Source organism: Homo sapiens, chromosome 15 (genome assembly GCF_000001405.40).
Source record: "Homo sapiens chromosome 15, GRCh38.p14 Primary Assembly".
NCBI classification, from domain to species: domain Eukaryota; kingdom Metazoa; phylum Chordata; class Mammalia; order Primates; family Hominidae; genus Homo; species Homo sapiens.
The window spans coordinates 65,541,439-65,557,644 of NC_000015.10; the positions used below are offsets into that span (position 1 = coordinate 65,541,439).

General features: G+C 42.9%; 1 protein-coding gene and 1 pseudogene across 2 annotated transcripts in view; one reads left to right on the top strand and one right to left on the bottom strand.

Moving 5' to 3' along the window:
- Positions 1 to 16,206, top strand: part of HACD3 (3-hydroxyacyl-CoA dehydratase 3) — a 47,887-nt gene that overhangs the window by 10,976 nt on the left and 20,705 nt on the right. For both annotated transcript variants that reach the window (NM_016395.4, NM_001411136.1), the window contains exons 2-4: positions 10,238 to 10,280; positions 13,449 to 13,522; positions 15,301 to 15,465. In NM_016395.4, the coding sequence (NP_057479.2) occupies positions 10,238 to 10,280; positions 13,449 to 13,522; positions 15,301 to 15,465 (282 nt within the window). The remainder of the gene's footprint in view (positions 1 to 10,237; positions 10,281 to 13,448; positions 13,523 to 15,300; positions 15,466 to 16,206) is intronic.
- On the bottom strand, positions 11,644 to 11,749 carry RNU6-19P (RNA, U6 small nuclear 19, pseudogene; annotated as a pseudogene).

The window sequence follows — 16,206 nt, forward strand, 5'->3', positions numbered from 1 at the left end:
TTGCTTGTTCCAGTGAGGGAAAACACACATCGTAGGGAAACATGTGGTATCTCAGTAAGATGGTGTTAAAAAAGACCTTGTTATATAGGATTTGGGCTTTGATTATGTGATGGCGGGGGTGTCTAAGGAAGTGGGGTCCGCTATAGATTGGATGTTGACAGAAAGCAGGGACAGTTCTATGATTTGGTATTTTGTGGTTGGCATAGTGACCTGTCATTAGACAAATTTATGCAATGGTCTTGTTTTGTTTAATTTTACCATGGTCTCATAGTAACCTCAAGTTGGTTGGTATTCTTTGAAATTGTCTGTGTCCCCAAAAGGGGGAATTAGAAGATGATACAAACTTTTACATACACCCAATTGAGTATTATACAGCTATAACAAGAAAGAGTAAGGTCTTTATGAGCTGATAAGGATTTATTTAGGTGAAAAAAAAAGCAAGATGTATAAGAATGTATATTGTATGCTAATTTTTGTATAGAAAGAAGGGAAAATAAGAATATCTGTTTTGGCCGGGTGCGGTGGCTCACGCCTGTAATCCCAGCACTTTGGGAGGCCGAGGTGGGCAGACCACGAGGTCAATAGATCGAGACCATCCTGGCCAACATGGTGAAACGGTGTCTCTACTAAAAATACAAAAATTAGCTGGGCGTGGTGGCATGTTCCTGTAGTCCCAGCTACTTGGGAGGCTGAGGCAGGAGAATCGCTTGAACCTGGGAGGCAGAGGTTGCAGTGAGCTGAGATCATGCCACTGCACTCCAGCCTGGCGACAGAGTGAGACTCCATCTCAAAAAAAAAAAAAAAAAAAGAAAAGAAAAGAATATCTGTTTTGTATGTTTGTTTGAGACAGGGTCTCACTCTGTCACCCAGGCTGGAGTGCAGTGGTGTGATCCTGGCTCACTGCAGTCTCCACCTCTCAGGCCCAAGTGAACCTCCTACCTCAGTCTCCCAAGTAGCTAGGACTACAGGCACATGCCATCACGCCAGGCTAATTTTTGTATTTTTTGTAGAGACAGGGTTTCACCATGTTGCCCAGGCTGGTTTTGAACTCCTGAGCTCAAGCGATCTACCCACCTTGGTCTCCCAAAGTGCTGGGATTACAGGCATCAGTCACTGTGCCTGGATGAAAATAAGAATATCTAAATATATTTGCAAATTTTTGCAAAACACGCATATACAGAGAATAGATAAACCAGAAATGAATGAAATGGTTACCGGTATGTGGGGAATAGGAATGTGGTAAAGGAGGATGGGTTTGGGAGCAAGACTTCTGAGGAAATCATTTTATAAAGTTTGAATTTTGAACAATGGGAATGTTTTACATATTCAAAGATAAAATTGTCTTAAAAAAAACAGGCCGGGCTTGGTGGCTCATGCCTGTAATCTCAGCACTTTGGGAGGCTGAGGCGGGCAGATGACGAGGTCAAGAGATAGAGACCATCCTGGCCAACATGGGGAAACCCTGTCTCTACTAAAAATACAGAAATTAGCTGGGTGCGATGGCATGTGCCTGTAATCCCAGCTACTCAGGAGGCTGAGGCAGGAGAATCGCTTGAACCCAGGAGGCAGAGGTTGCAGTAAACCGAGATCGTGCCACTGCACTCCAGCCTGGCGACAGTGGGACTCTGTCTCTCTAAAAAAAAAAAAAAAAGAAAGAAAAGAAAAAAGCAAATTAAATAAACAGAACCAAAAGGACCTAACTGTGTATCAAATTGATGACAAAATCTTACAGATAAATTAATCAATACACATAATATTTGAACACAGTACTCTGGTACTTTAGTAGATCATGTCCTTTTTAAAAATCAACCTTCCCCCCTTTTAGTGGAATATATTCTAAGGACAAAAAGAACTGCAATTAAATGTTACACTTACAAGGGTTATTTCTCCCTTTTCTTTTTTTTTAAATTGAATACAAATTTTCTTTTTTCTTATTTTCCACAGGGAAACTTCTGCAAGTAATTAGTAGGTTTATTGTTGGTAAAAAATATTGATATTCTAATTCTGAAACTTTTTTGGGATAAAACAAATATATAAATGTACTAATGTTATTAGGAAGCTTTTCACTGTAAAAGATATAAATCTTAAATAACAAGGTAGGGAGAAGCCTTGTAAGAGCTTGAATTGGAAACTTCACTATGACATCGTTTTTTAAATTCCTAGCTAGCCCACTGAAAGATGAACATTGACTATACCTCAGTGTACTTAGATCATGGCTTCTACATTACCATTTCCAACCAAAGAAACTATGCCTCCTTGAAAAAATGGCCAATTATTCCAAATCTGTGCCAGAAAAAGAACAGTATCCTCAAAAGCTACACGGTCATGTCAGAATCATACAGGACTTGATTTGAAGGGATTTCTACTGGCCAAGTTTGTGACAATTTGAACATCAACAAGAGTAATAATGGTAATGGAATTTGGCTGAGTGGATCACAAAAGAAAATCTGTGAGTCGGCGGGGCGTGGTGGATCACACCTGTAATCTCAGCACTTTGGGAGGCCGAGGTGGGCAGATCACAAGGTCAGGAGATCAAGACCATCCTGGCTAACATGGTGAAACCTCGTCTCTACTAAAAATACAAAAAAATTACCCGGGCCTGGTGGTGGGCGCCTGTAGTCCCAGCTACTCGGGAGGCCGAGGCAGGAGAATGGCGTGAACCCGGGAGGCGGAGCTTGCAGTGAGCCGAGATTACGCCACTGCACTCCAGCCTGGGTGACAGAGCGGGACTCCATCTCAAAAAAAAGAAAAAAATAAAAAGAAAATCCGTGAGCCCATAGTGAAAGTAAAAAAGAAATATAGACCAGAGAGGGTACAGGCTGGTGGTGTTTGCGAAGGCATCATGAGGGATCTAGAGCTGTTCAGTCTCTTTACTGTGACAGTTGGTAGATGAACCTATACAGGTGATCAAATTGGATAGAACTTAACACACAGACGCACATGCACATACCTGCAAGCGAATGCAAGTAAAACTGGGAAATCTGAATAACATAGGTGGGTTGTGTCAATGGCAGTATCCTGATTTTGATTTTATACTATAGTTTTGTAGAATGCTACCATTGGGGGAAACTAGGAAAAGTGTACAAGGGATCTCTCAGTACTATTTCTTTTTTAAAAATTTTTATTTTTGTGGGTACACAGTAGGTGTGTATATTTATTTCTTAGAGCTTCATGTGAATCCATATCTCAATAAAAATTTCAATTAAAAAAAGGGAGAGGAGAAAAAGGGAAAACTCCTTTTTACAGAAGAATGCCAACTAGAAAATGAAAAAGGAATGATTGAATTAGAAAATTATAATGTTGCCGGGTGCGGTGGCTCACGCCTGTAATCCCAGCACTTTGGGAGTCCGAGGCCAGCAGATCACCAGAGGTCGGGAGTTTGAGACCAACCTGACTAACATGGAGAAACCCTGTCTCTACTAAAAATACAAAATTAGCCGGGCGTGGTTGCACGTGTCTGTAATCCCAGCTGCTCGGGAGGCTGAGGCAGGAGAATTGCTTGAACCCGGGAGGCGGAGGTTGCGGTGAGCCGAGATGGCACCATTGCACTCCAGCCTGGGCAACAAGGGAAATTCTGTCTAAAAAAAAAAAAAAAGAAAGAAAGAAAATTATAATTTTGTGACCTCCAGTGTAAAATTGCATCAGGTAAGGATTAACAATGGTTGACCGTACCATTGGATGAAAGAGTGTTGTGAGGGAATGGCAGATTACATTATTAGGTAACTTGCTAATTACAAAAGGAAACACTACAGTGGAAAGTTCTGGCAGTCACCTTCTCAATTTAATGATCAAATTTATTGTCACCCTCTTAACATAAGGATGCCATAAGTAACCATATCACCTATGAAATATTTTTGTTAAAAATGGTTAATATGAAGGAATGGCCAGACAAATCCAGAATATGATACATTTTACAAGACAATTGGCATGGGCTAATAAATAAAAGTGTAAGTCTGTATTAAATAAAAATAGGCATGGCAATCAAGAGGAATGCATGAACCTGGATTGGATCCTGGATTTTTTTTTTTTTTTTTGAGACGGAGTCTCGCTCTGTCGCCCAGGCTGGAGTGTCTCAGCTCATTGGAAGCTCCGCCTCCCGGGTTCACGCCATTCTCCTGCCTCAGCCTCCTGAGTAGCTGGGACTACAGGCGCCTGCCACCAGGCCCGGCTAATTTTTTTTTTTTTTTTTGTATTTTTAGTAGAGACAGGGTTTCACCGTGTTAGCCAGGATGGCCTCTATCTCCTGACCTTGTGATCCGCCCGCCTCGGCCTCCCAAAGTGCTGGGATTACAGGCGTGAGCCACCCGTGGCCGATTCTGGATTTTTTTAAAGTGTAAATGTAGTGGCTTCAGGATAACTGCATCAAGAGTGCCATCAAAATTCGCAATTTATTTCTTCTTTCCCTGAATCTGGGCAGGCCCTCTGGCAGCTTAGTGAATAGAATGCTGGAGAATGATGCTGTGACCAGTTCCAGGCTTACTCTTTGTAAGAGAACTGCCAGCTTCCGCTTCTTCTCTCTTAGACCACTTGCTCTTGAGACATTCCCTCTCGGAACTGAGCAGTCCTGTTGCGGGAGACCCAAGCCACATGGAGTGGCCAAATATAGTTATTCTGGTCTTAGCTGAACTACCAAATGACAACCAGCAACAATTATGAGCTAAGTGAGCGACCCGTCTTGAATGTTCCAGCCCAATATACTATAGCCCCAGCCAACATCACATGGAATAGAACTATATAGCTGAGCCCCAGTCAACCTGTAGAATCATGTAGGATAATAAAATAGTTGTTTTAAGTTAAGTTTTAGAGTGGTTGCGTGCATTACAGTAAATAACAAAAACAATTGAACATCTTTGAGACAATTGTTCATGTAGATTTTTTATTAGATAATATGGAATTATTGTTCTTAGGTATTAGAAAGCTTTGGTAATTATACAAGATAATATAATTTCTTAGGAGAGGAAATATGTGGAGGTTAAGTATGATGTCTGCAGCTCATTTTGAAATAATTCAGCAAAAAACTATGCATATAAAAGGCAAATATTGGGAGCTTTCATTATATTTTGTAGAATGGAGGCTACCCCCACCCTAAAAAAACCAAATATGACATTTAGCAATCAATTGGTAGAAGGTATATGAGTTTTCATTATATTATACTATTTTTTCTTTTTTTACTTGAGACAGGGTCTTGCTCTGTCACCCAGGCTGGAGTCCAGGCTGGTCCCAAACTACTGGCATCAAGTGATCTGCCTGCTTTGGCCTTCCAAAGTGCTGGGATTGCAGGTGTGAGCCACCATGCCTGGCCTAGTTTTTCAATTTTTTTGTAGATTTAAATGTTTTCAAAATAAAACATTGGGGTGAAAAGGATCACATTAAAAATACACAGAGTTTTGGGGTTCCCCGGCAGCCACCAGTGTGCTCAGTGATTTGCTCGAAGGATTCATGGGACTTAGTATATAATTGTACTCATGACTAAGGTTTGTTACAGCTGGAGAATACAGGACAGGATCAGTAAAGGAAAAAAAGCACAAGTGGAGTCTGGAGAAATCCACGTATAAGCCTCTTTATCATTCTTCCTCCTGTGAGGGGGTATATTTGAGCACACTCCACCAGCGACGAAAAATGCAATGACTTATGTATAACTTTTCTGCCCAGGGAAGCCCGTTAGTGATTGAGTTCCCAGGATTTTTTTTTTTTTTGAGACGGAGTCTCACTCTGTCACCGAGGCTGGAGTGCAGTGGCCTGATCTCGGCTCACTGCAACCTCCGCCTCCTGGGTTCAAGCAATTCTCCTGCCTCAGCCTCTTGAGTAGCTGGGATTACAGGCGCACGCCATCATGCCTGGCTAATTTTTGTATTTTTAGTAGAGACAGGGTTTCACCATATTGGTCAGGCTGGTCTCGAACTCCTGACCTCATGATCCACCCACCTTGGCCTCCCAAAGTGCTGGGATTACAGGCATGAGCCACCGCGCCCGGCCAAGTACCCATGATTTTTATTGGGGCTTGTTACTTAGGTAACCTCTGCCTAACATGTACCAAAATTTCAGGCTCCTAGAAGGAAAGTTGATATTCACCATAAATCACATTGTTTGTAGGCACAGTTTAGGAACATTGGACCACCCTTATTAGTTAGGTGATGGAGGAAAGCCGAGTTTCTAGATAGATGCCAGCCAAAGGCTGATCTTGGAAGCAGGCCCTTTTAAAGACTGCAGCCTCAGGCTTGCTATATTAACTCTTCTGCACACATACTAATCACATAAATTTGAAGATAAATACTAATGATTTGAATGAGAAAGGAAACTCTTGTCTAAAGGGTTAGATAGCAGGTAGTTTATTGTGAACTCTTTGTAGTTCTGCCAGAGATTCTGAAAATGGGATGAATTGATTTCAGTTCACTTAACAGTTATTGAGGCATTAGGTATATGGAAATGAATAAGACACAGTCCCTGCCATCAAAGAAGTCAGGTCAAGAGGGGCAGTTAAATGATCAACAATGATTGTGGAACAGTGTGATAAGTATTATAGTAAAGGTGAATACAAAGTAGGAAGGAAACTGTTGATTCTGATGTTAGGGTGAGGAGGAGAGAACAGGAATTAACATTTGACCTGAACTTTGAAAGAGAAGTAGTGTTCAACAGGCATGGAAACTTAGATGGGCACTTTAGTCAGAGGAAAAAAAGCAACTGGAATGTGAATTCTTACTAGTTGCCAGGGTCTGTGTGTGCTATTATAACTTAATCCTTACAGCAGACCTGTGATGTAAGTGATTTTATTGTTATTTTTAAAATTATGGCTGGGCATGGTGGCTCATGCCTGTAATCCCAGCAGTTTGGTAGGCTGAGGTGGAGGATTACTTGAGCCCAGGAGTTCGGGACCAGCCTGGGCAACATAGTGAGACTTGTCTCTGCAAAAAATTTAAAAAAGATATTAGCCAGGCATGGTGATGTGGACCTGTAGTCCCAGATACTTGAGAGGCTAAGGTGGGAGGATCCTTGAGCCTGGGAGATGGAGGCTGCAGTGAGCCGAGATTGCACCACTTCACTCCAGCCCTGGGTGACAGAGGGAGATTCTGTCTCAAAAAAAAAAAAAAAAAAAGATGATTAAGATGATTTGAAAATTTTCGTATTCCCTTTTCCCTCTTCACTCCTTTTTTTGAGACAGGGTCTTAGTCTGTCATCCAGGCTGGAATGCAGTGGTGCAATAAAAGCTCACTGCAGCTTCGACCTCCTGGGCTCAAGTTGTCCTCCCAGCTTAGCCTCCCAAGTAGCTGGGACCGCAGGCATGTGCCACCACACTTGGCTAATTTTTTTATTTTTGTAGAGACGGTCTATGTTGTTCAGGCTGGTCTTGAACTCCTGGGCTCAAGTGATCTTCCTGCGTAGGCCTCCCGAAGTGTTGGGATTATAGGCATGAGCTACCTTGCCCAGCCACTCTCTTTCTCTTTTTATTTTTTAAAAGAATTAGAGACAGGGTCTGACTACTTGCTATGTATGTTCCCCTAGCTGCATTTGAACCCCTGGGTTCAAGTGATCCTCCCACTTCAGCCTCCCCGGTAGCTGGGACTATAGGTGCATGGCACCGGGCCTGGCTGTTCACTCCTCCTTTCATAAGCAAAGGCACAGTTTCTTTTCTTGTAAGAGATGGGCTAGGTTGTGTAGATTGAGCTTTCTAATAAAAACAACTAAAAGTGTTGAATAAAAATGTCTTAAAAACATCGAAAAGTTAACACGGTAGAAATGAAATTGGGAACTCAGATAAGCTGAACGTGGAAACTGCTTTTGCCTTGCGAACATTTGCTCAACTAAGTGAACTTGAACTTTGGTTTTGACAGCCCAACAGGGCGCAGGCAATAGAAGTAAGGTCAAACCCAGCCTGGTGCGGTGGCTCACAGCTGTAGTCCCAGCACTTTGGGAGGCCGAGGTGGGCGGATCACAATGTCAGGAGTTTGAGACCAGCCTGACCAATATGGTGTAATCCCATCTCTGCTGGGAAAAAAAAAAAAAAAAAAAAAAAATTAGCTGGGTGTGGTGGCGCACACCTGTAATCCCAGCTGCTCGGGAGGCTGAAGCAGAAGAATCGCTTGAGCCTGGGAGGTGGAGGTTGCAGTGAATTGAGATGGCGCCACTGTACTCCAGCCTGGGTGACAAAGCGAGATTCCATCTCAAAAAAAAAAAAAAAAAAAAAGATCAAAGCCCAAGACCCACCAAAGGTGTAACATGTAATAGGAAATCTTCTCCATAAACCGTATTTCAGAGAGGACTATACACTTAGGGTTAGGATGAACTAGAAATAAGCCCATTCCATCTGCCTGTCTCCAGTTGCCTTAACACTTAGCTAAGTATTAATAGAAGAAAAGGTCCTTGAGAAGTTAAAACTGTAAGTTGGCTCTCAAAGGTTATGTAGCCCAAATTCACACAATTTAGGAGAACCAAAACTCTAAACTTGAGAACCCTCAAGCCATGCATTTAGTTTAAAGTGGCCTCAACTGGTAGGACCCCTAGGTCCCTGGCAGAAGCAAATGCAGATCGATCCTCTGTAGTAGCTATGCTGATATCACACAAAATAGACTTTTAGGCACAAGTGTATTTTTAGAGATAGAAAGGGCAGTTCATAATGATAAGGTTTCAGTTTACCAGGAAGATACAACAATATTAAGTTATATGCATCTAGGCTGGACACAGTAGCTCATGCCTGTAATCCCAGCACTTTGGGAGGCCGAGGCAGGCAGATCACCTGAGGTCAGGAGTTCAAGACTAGCCTGGCCAACATGGTGAAACCTCGTCTCTGCAAAAATACAAAAATTAGCCGGGCATGATGGCAGTCGCCTGTAATACCAGCTACTCAGGAGGCTGAGGCAGGAGAATCGCCTGAACCTGGGAGGCAGAGGTTACAGTGAGCCGAGACTGAGCCATTGCACTCCAGCCTGGGTGAATTTTTCAAAAAAAAGAAAGAAAATATTAAACAAGTTCATATCAGATAAAATGGATAAATTCCAAGAAATAAAGACAGTTTCTATAAAAGAGATAGAAAACCTGGATAGCCCAATAACCATTAAATACATGGATTCAGTAGTCAAAAATCTTCCCACAGGGAAACTTGCAGGTCTAAATGGCTTCACCTGGAAGTTCTACCAAGCATTTAAATAAATAATTGCAGTTAATAATTATTTGTTAATCTGTTGCTACATAACAAATCACCCAATATGTAGTGGCTTAAAGCAACAATAGTCGTTTATTGTCTCTCACAGTTTCTGTGGGTTAGGACTTCAGGAGGGGCTCTGTTGGGTTGTTCTGGCTTGGAATCTCATGAGGTTGTGGTCAGATGACAGCTGTAGTTGGGGAACACAGAAAGCTAAGCCCACAGAAGAAAAACAAACACCGTGACACTGGGAAGGAGCTGCCTCTTGCTTGTTAACCTTGAGCTGGAAGTAGGAGTTGGGTTGTTTCTCATCCACTGGAAAAAGTGTTAAGTAGTTTCACTTTACATTATGATGCTAAATTGAAGGTATGTAGCAACTTCTGGGAATCAATGAGCAGTCTGGAGAATTTTGACCTCTCCCGAGTCTTGTTTCCTTTGGGGGTTAAGAGAGTCTGGAGCCTCTAAGTTAGAGACACAGGCACAGCGTGTTTCATTTTCATTCACCACCTGCAATCCTCTGCCCTTCCCTCTACCTGTTGGAATTAATTTATCATTCAGGTTGCAGTACAGGTCTCACCTTTGGTGAAGCTTTTCCCCACCACTCTATTCCTGTTGTGCTCTCTCTCTCTCCTAACTCTGCTAACACTTACTGCCTTTTACCACCCTTTTCGTCTTGACCATATGTTTCTTAATAACTATTTGATATCTTCTCACAGAAAGTGCCTCATCTGTCCCACTGGATCCTCTGTTCTACAGCTCAGGGGTTGAGTCCTGGAGATCTCTGTATTCCCGTGTCATATCTCACATAGCACCTTGCATGACTGGCCATTTTCAGAATGGACTAATTCAGTACTTGATTGTTTGCACAGTTAGAGCAGGTTAGGGTCCTTCTTGCAGGAGTCTGCAGTCTTAGATAGGTACAGACAGACATAGAGAAAGCCTACAGAGATGTGAATAAATGACTAAATATATTTCTGGGGGAGGCACAGAGTAGGAGTTTGAGTCCTTATGGGAGAGGGATGAGGGGAAGAAGCCCCTTGTTTAATCTCATTTTTTCTCTTCATTAAAATGCCTTCTTGCATCCTTGGTCTCTTTTCACAGAACCCTGCCATCAGCATCACTGAAAACGTGCTGCATTTCAAAGGTCAGTATCCCAGCAAATGCTCCCATCTCTATACACAGTTAAGGAGGTGTGGTGGTGGTTTCCCTTTTTTAAAAAAATGTATTTGTCTTACTTGTTTTTTGCTGATGTTCACGCCTCTGATCCTCATGAGGTAAGCTAAATTGTTTTGAAATATATGATTAGAAAAGTCAAAGAATTGGTTTAAAATCCTGTTTCCCCCATGGAGAGGCAGTAGATACAGTGAAGGAAAAAAAAAAAAAGAATCCTGGGTTAGAAATCAGGAGACGTGTCTTCTAGCTCTAATTCTGCCGCTATCTTGGACAAGTTATTGACTTCTCTGGACCTGTACAATGAAGATGCTGGGTTTTAATCTGTGTTTCTCAAACTCGAGGACCCGTGGACACCAAATAATGTTTCCACAGGACTCTCAAGGGCTCATGGACCCGAGATTGAGAAACGTGAAGAATTAAATATGGTCACTTTAAGTGATATTTGGCTCCACTGCAGCTGTGAATACAGACACACATACAGCTACTGATTGCATGGCAGTACTTGATTATGAAGTGGCCATCTAGATGATCCAGAATATGCTGCTTTTTTTAAAAAAAAATTATTATGGAAACATAAAATAGAAAATTTATTTATTTATTTATTTTGAGATTGAGTCTTGCTCTGTCACCCAGGCTGGAATGCAGTGGCATGATTTCGGCTCACTGCAACCTCCGCCTCCTGGGTTCAAGTGATTCTCGTGCCTCAGTCTCCCGAGTAGCTGGGATTACAGGCATCCGCCACCACGTCCAGCTAATTTTTGTATTTTTAGTAGAGACAGGGTTTCACTATGTTGTCCAGGCTGGTCTTGAACTCCTGACCTCAAGTGATCTGCCCACCTCGGCCTCTCGAAGTGCTGGGATTATAGGCGTGAGCCACCGTGCCTGTTTTTTGTTTTTTGTTTTTGTTTTTGTTTTTTTTAAATATTTTTCTTTTTTTTTTAAATTTATTATTTTTTTATTATACTTTAAGTTTTAGGGTACATGTGCCCGTTGTGCAGGTTAGTTACATATGTATACATGTGCCATGCTGGTGCGCTGCACCCACTAACTCGTCATCTAGCATTAGGTATATCTCCCGATGCTATCCCTCCCCACTCCCCCCACCCCACAACAGTCCCCAGAGTGTGATATTCCCCTTCCTGTGTCCATGTGATCTCATTGTTCAATTCCCACCTATGAGTGAGAATATGCGGTGTTTGGTTTTTTGTTCTTGCGATAGTTTACTGAGAATGATGATTTCCAATTTCATCCATGTCCCTACAAAGGACATGAACTCATCATTTTTTATGGCTGCATAGTATTCCATGGTGTATATGTGCCACATTTTCTTAATAAAAATATGGAACGCTTCACGAATTTGCGTGTCATCCTTGCACAGGGGCCATACTAATCTTCTCTGTATCATTCCAATTTTAGTATATGTGCTGCCGAAGTGAGCACATATTTTTCTTTTTAAACATTTAAAAAAATAATAATTATTTATTACATCCCTTCTCACTATTCCTAAGAAATTTTCTTGATGAGACTTTGTGGCTCCCTGATACTAGATTAGCAGACCAGTTTGAGAAACACTACACTCTAGATGATGTCTCAGGCCTTTTCAGCTCTGACAGTCTCTGATTCTGTGAATCTGCCTCTATCTGCCTTCTCCTCAGTCCCTCAGCAGATTTACTGCTCTACTGGAGAGGGTGGGATTTCCATTCACTGTCACCCAGTGGGGTAGGATTCTCTCTGCTCTCTGTTCCAGTTCCTGGGATTATTGGAGCATAAAGAGTTTCTGCTTTATGTGAAATTCCATCTACTGTAATATACTTGCATGAAAGTACAGCCTGGCTTTTGTATCTGCTTTTCAAGATGAGAGTAGTCACCACTCAGCTCAGGTTTTTTGGGAATTATATACATTTACATGAAAATTAAAGTGATAAAAGCATATCTTGCCACTTAGACCTTATATACTGTCCTACCTTAAGGAATTTATCGTCACAGAGAATAATTGCTACCTGTAGCGAATATTAGGCAGGTTATTAGTCTACATATGATCAGATAAGGAAAGAGAGTCCCAGAAGGGAACCAAATGGTAAATGAATCAGAGAGGAGAGTGGAAGGGTGGTTCAGCAGCAGCTGCTGGGTCCAGCAGTCACTGGCATCTAGGCATGGTGCCAGCTAGAATTGGGGAAAGGAGCCATGTCAAGGCATAGGGATGGGGCATTGGCCAACTCAGGTACTTCCCTCCTAGTTCCACCTGTCCTTCATAAGCTGCGAAAGATTGTATTTCTTTTTCCTTGTTCCATTTGGGATGTGCTAAAGGAGGAGTCAGCTTCTGCCTTCATTCTCTCTCCCTGGTTGGGAGGTTTTAGATTCAGAGCTGTCCAAGACAACCCAGCATTTCCATGTACCCTGCAGTCAAGATGATACACCCACCAATTTTTGTCTGCTCTAGATTTAGAGCCAAAGTAATTGTGAAAGTTAAATTTATATCCGTGTGGCTCCTTTGGCATTGCTTTCTCTATTCTTTTTCCTGCCTGTTATTTGTGTGGGGTATCATCAGGGTCACAGTGGAAGATTGGGTAAATACGCCAAAACTGACATCAGAGGACATATGGAGATAAACTTGTGTCAAAGATTTGGCCTATCTAGCTGTTGAGGAGCTCTGCGCACAAGCCCCCACACATTTTAACAGGACCCATTAAGATTTGTGGACTACGATGCTTCTTGGCCTTTTGGCTACAATCAAGTATGATATTCGTGCCAGGTACAGTGGCTCATGTCTGTAATCCCAGCACTTTGGGAGGCTGAGGCGGGTGGATCACAAGGTCAGGAGATCGAGACCATCCTGGTTAACACGGTGAAACCCCGTCTCTACTAAAAATAAAAAAAATTATCTGGGCATGGTGGCGGGAGCCTGTAGTCCCAGCTACTCGGGAGGCTGAGGCAGGAGAATGGCATGAACCCGGGAGGCGGAGCTTGCAGTGAGCCGAGATCATGCCACTGCACTCCAGCCTGGGCAACAGAGCAAGACTCTGTCTCAAAAAAAAAAAAGTGTAATATTCGCATACTTGGGAAAGAACTGCACCAAGCTGGCTTTTGGATGGCCTTGCTCTGCTCAAGTTTGCAGTAACCCACATTTCTTTCTTTATAGCTCAAGGACATGGTGCCAAAGGAGACAATGTCTATGAATTTCACCTGGAGTTCTTAGACCTTGTGAAACCAGAGGTATGTTCTTTCCTTTCTCACTTCCCTTCCCATTTTAGGAAATGAATACCAGTAGTTTAGTGAAATGGGGAGCAGGGTTTGTGGAGAGAAGAAGATAAAAACCAAAGGGGAATAATAGAGTTCTTTTATTTGGAACAGAGCCCAGGTTTTAGCTGCAGAGGAATGGGAAAGTCAGAGACCCCAAGTTGAGTCAGGGCCCTGCCATTTATTAGCAGTGTGATCTTGAACAAGTCTCTTAACTTCTTCGAGTTCTGGTGTTCTCATGTGTTAAATGAAGGTCTGGACTAAGTGATCCTTCCAGCTCTGATATTCTCTGGTTTTAGTGATGGCAGAGGAATATGGCACCCATTGAGAACAGAGTTACATAGAGTGGTTGAAGCCCCCACCAGGGGTTACTTTCATGTGACTTTGCCACAGTTGCAGGTGAGAAAAATAGAAATCAGAAAGGGTGAAGGCAGCTGGCCTTCAGAAAGAATGCTGCAGATATCATCAAAACTTCCCTTCCCTTAGAGCCTGAGGAAGCTTCTCTCATAAGCAGGGAGAGAATCCAATAGATGGGGTATTTTGGCTTCTGGAATTACACTTAGCTCTGGTGGCTTGAGCTTCTTGATTTCCGTGCGCAGGTGCTCAGTTGTTTTGAGAAAGCATGAATAATAACCAGTGGTACAGTGGGCAGAGAACCTGTCATGGAGCTTCCTTTGGAGAAAAGGGACAGGACATGTAGACAAACAATGAGCTGGAATGGCCTATAAGAATTTGAGTTTAGTTGGGAAGACTCCCCAAATTGACCCCTGTGAAAAAATCTGTAACTGATCCAATACAGTTCTGATCTTGATGCAGGTGTTTCTAAAACCGGGGTCTGCTGAGCCAGGACAGTCATTTTCATGGGAGGAAAATTTATAAGCTGAGGGTAATTGGATGCAGTACCCTTGAGAGGGTGATTGGACATAGTACCTTGCATGATGTGGCTGTGGCAGGAGGTTCATGCTAGTTCCCTCCAGCCTAACCAGGAACTATTTGCCTTTCTTATCCTGATATCCTCCTGTATCATTCACTGGGGGAATCAGAGAAGGACATTATGTCCTTACCAGTTCTCCATGCCAGCCGTTGGTCTAGATCAACCTTTTTGGCACCAGGGACCAATTTTGTGGAAGGCACTTTTTCCACAGATGGTGGAATGGGGATGGTTTCAGGGTGATTCAAATGCATTACATTTGTTGTGCACTTTATTTCTGTTATTATTACATTGTAATATATAATGAATACAACTCACCATAATGTAGAATCAGTGAGAGCCCTGAGCTTGTTTTCTTGCAACTAGACAGTCCCATCTGGGGGTGATGGGAGACAGTGACAGATCATCAGGCATTATAGTCTCATAAAGAGTGAGCAACCTAGATTCCTTGCATGCACAATTCACAATAGAGTTCACGCTCCTATGTGAATCTTGTGCCAATGCTGATCTGACAGGAGGCAGGGCTTAGGCAGTAATGCAAGTGATGGAGAGCGAGTCTAAATATAGGTGAAGTTTCACTCACTTGCCCACCACTCAGCTCCTCCTGTGTGGCCCGATTCCCAACAGGCCATGGACCAGTATCAGTCCATGGCCCAGGAGTTGGAGACCCCTGGTCTAGATGTTCCCTTTGCATCAGGACTTGCAGGACCAGAGAAAGAAGGAGAATAAATATATCCTGCAGCTTCTATGTACGGCGCCCCTGGCATGGTGCTGCTTCAGGGAACAGAAGAGGGCATTCTCACATTTTCACTTTCTCTCCTAGCCTGTTTACAAACTGACCCAGAGGCAGGTAAACATTACAGTACAGAAGAAAGTGAGTCAGTGGTGGGAGAGACTCACAAAGCAGGAAAAGCGACCACTGTTTTTGGCTCCTGACTTTGATCGTTGGCTGGATGAATCTGATGCGGAAATGGAGCTCAGAGCTAAGGTTAGTAAGGATCCTAGGATCTAGCCATTGAGGACAAATCATGGGGAACCCACGTTATTCAGGCCACTTCAGATACCTCTCGGTCTGAAAGAATAGCTACAAAGTTACAAATTCATTTAAAGACCTGGTGATGTGATTTTCAAGAAGTATTGGCTATGTATTTTATAGACTTTCCTTCGGTTGAAATCTGTCTGATGTTTCTCTTACAACTAGACTAAGGTGATAGATGTTGAGGAGAAGACCACTGAAGTAAAGTGCAATTCTTATCACATCATATCAAGAGTACATACGGCCGGGCACGGTGGCTCACGCCTGTAATCCCAGCACTTTGGGAGGCCAAGGTGCGTGGATCACGAGGTCAGGAGATAGAGACCATCCTGGCTAGCACAGTGAAACCCTGTCTCTACTAAAAATACAAAAAATTAGCCGGGCGTGGTGGTGCATGCCTGTAGTCGGAGCTGCTCAGGAGGCTGAGGCAGGAGAATGGCGTGAACTCGGGAGGCGGGGCTTGCCGTGAGCCGAGATCACGCCACTGCACTCCAGCCTGGGCAACAGAGCGAGAGTCTCAAAAAAAAAAAAAAAAAGTACATACTGTCAACGTGACACATCACTGTTGATATTAACCATGGGTTAGCTGGCTTGAGGTGACGCTTATCAGGTTTCTCTACCATAAGGTTATTTTCCTCTTGGCTCTCCTTGGAAGGAAGTCACTATGTGTAGCCTACATTTAAGGAGCAGGGA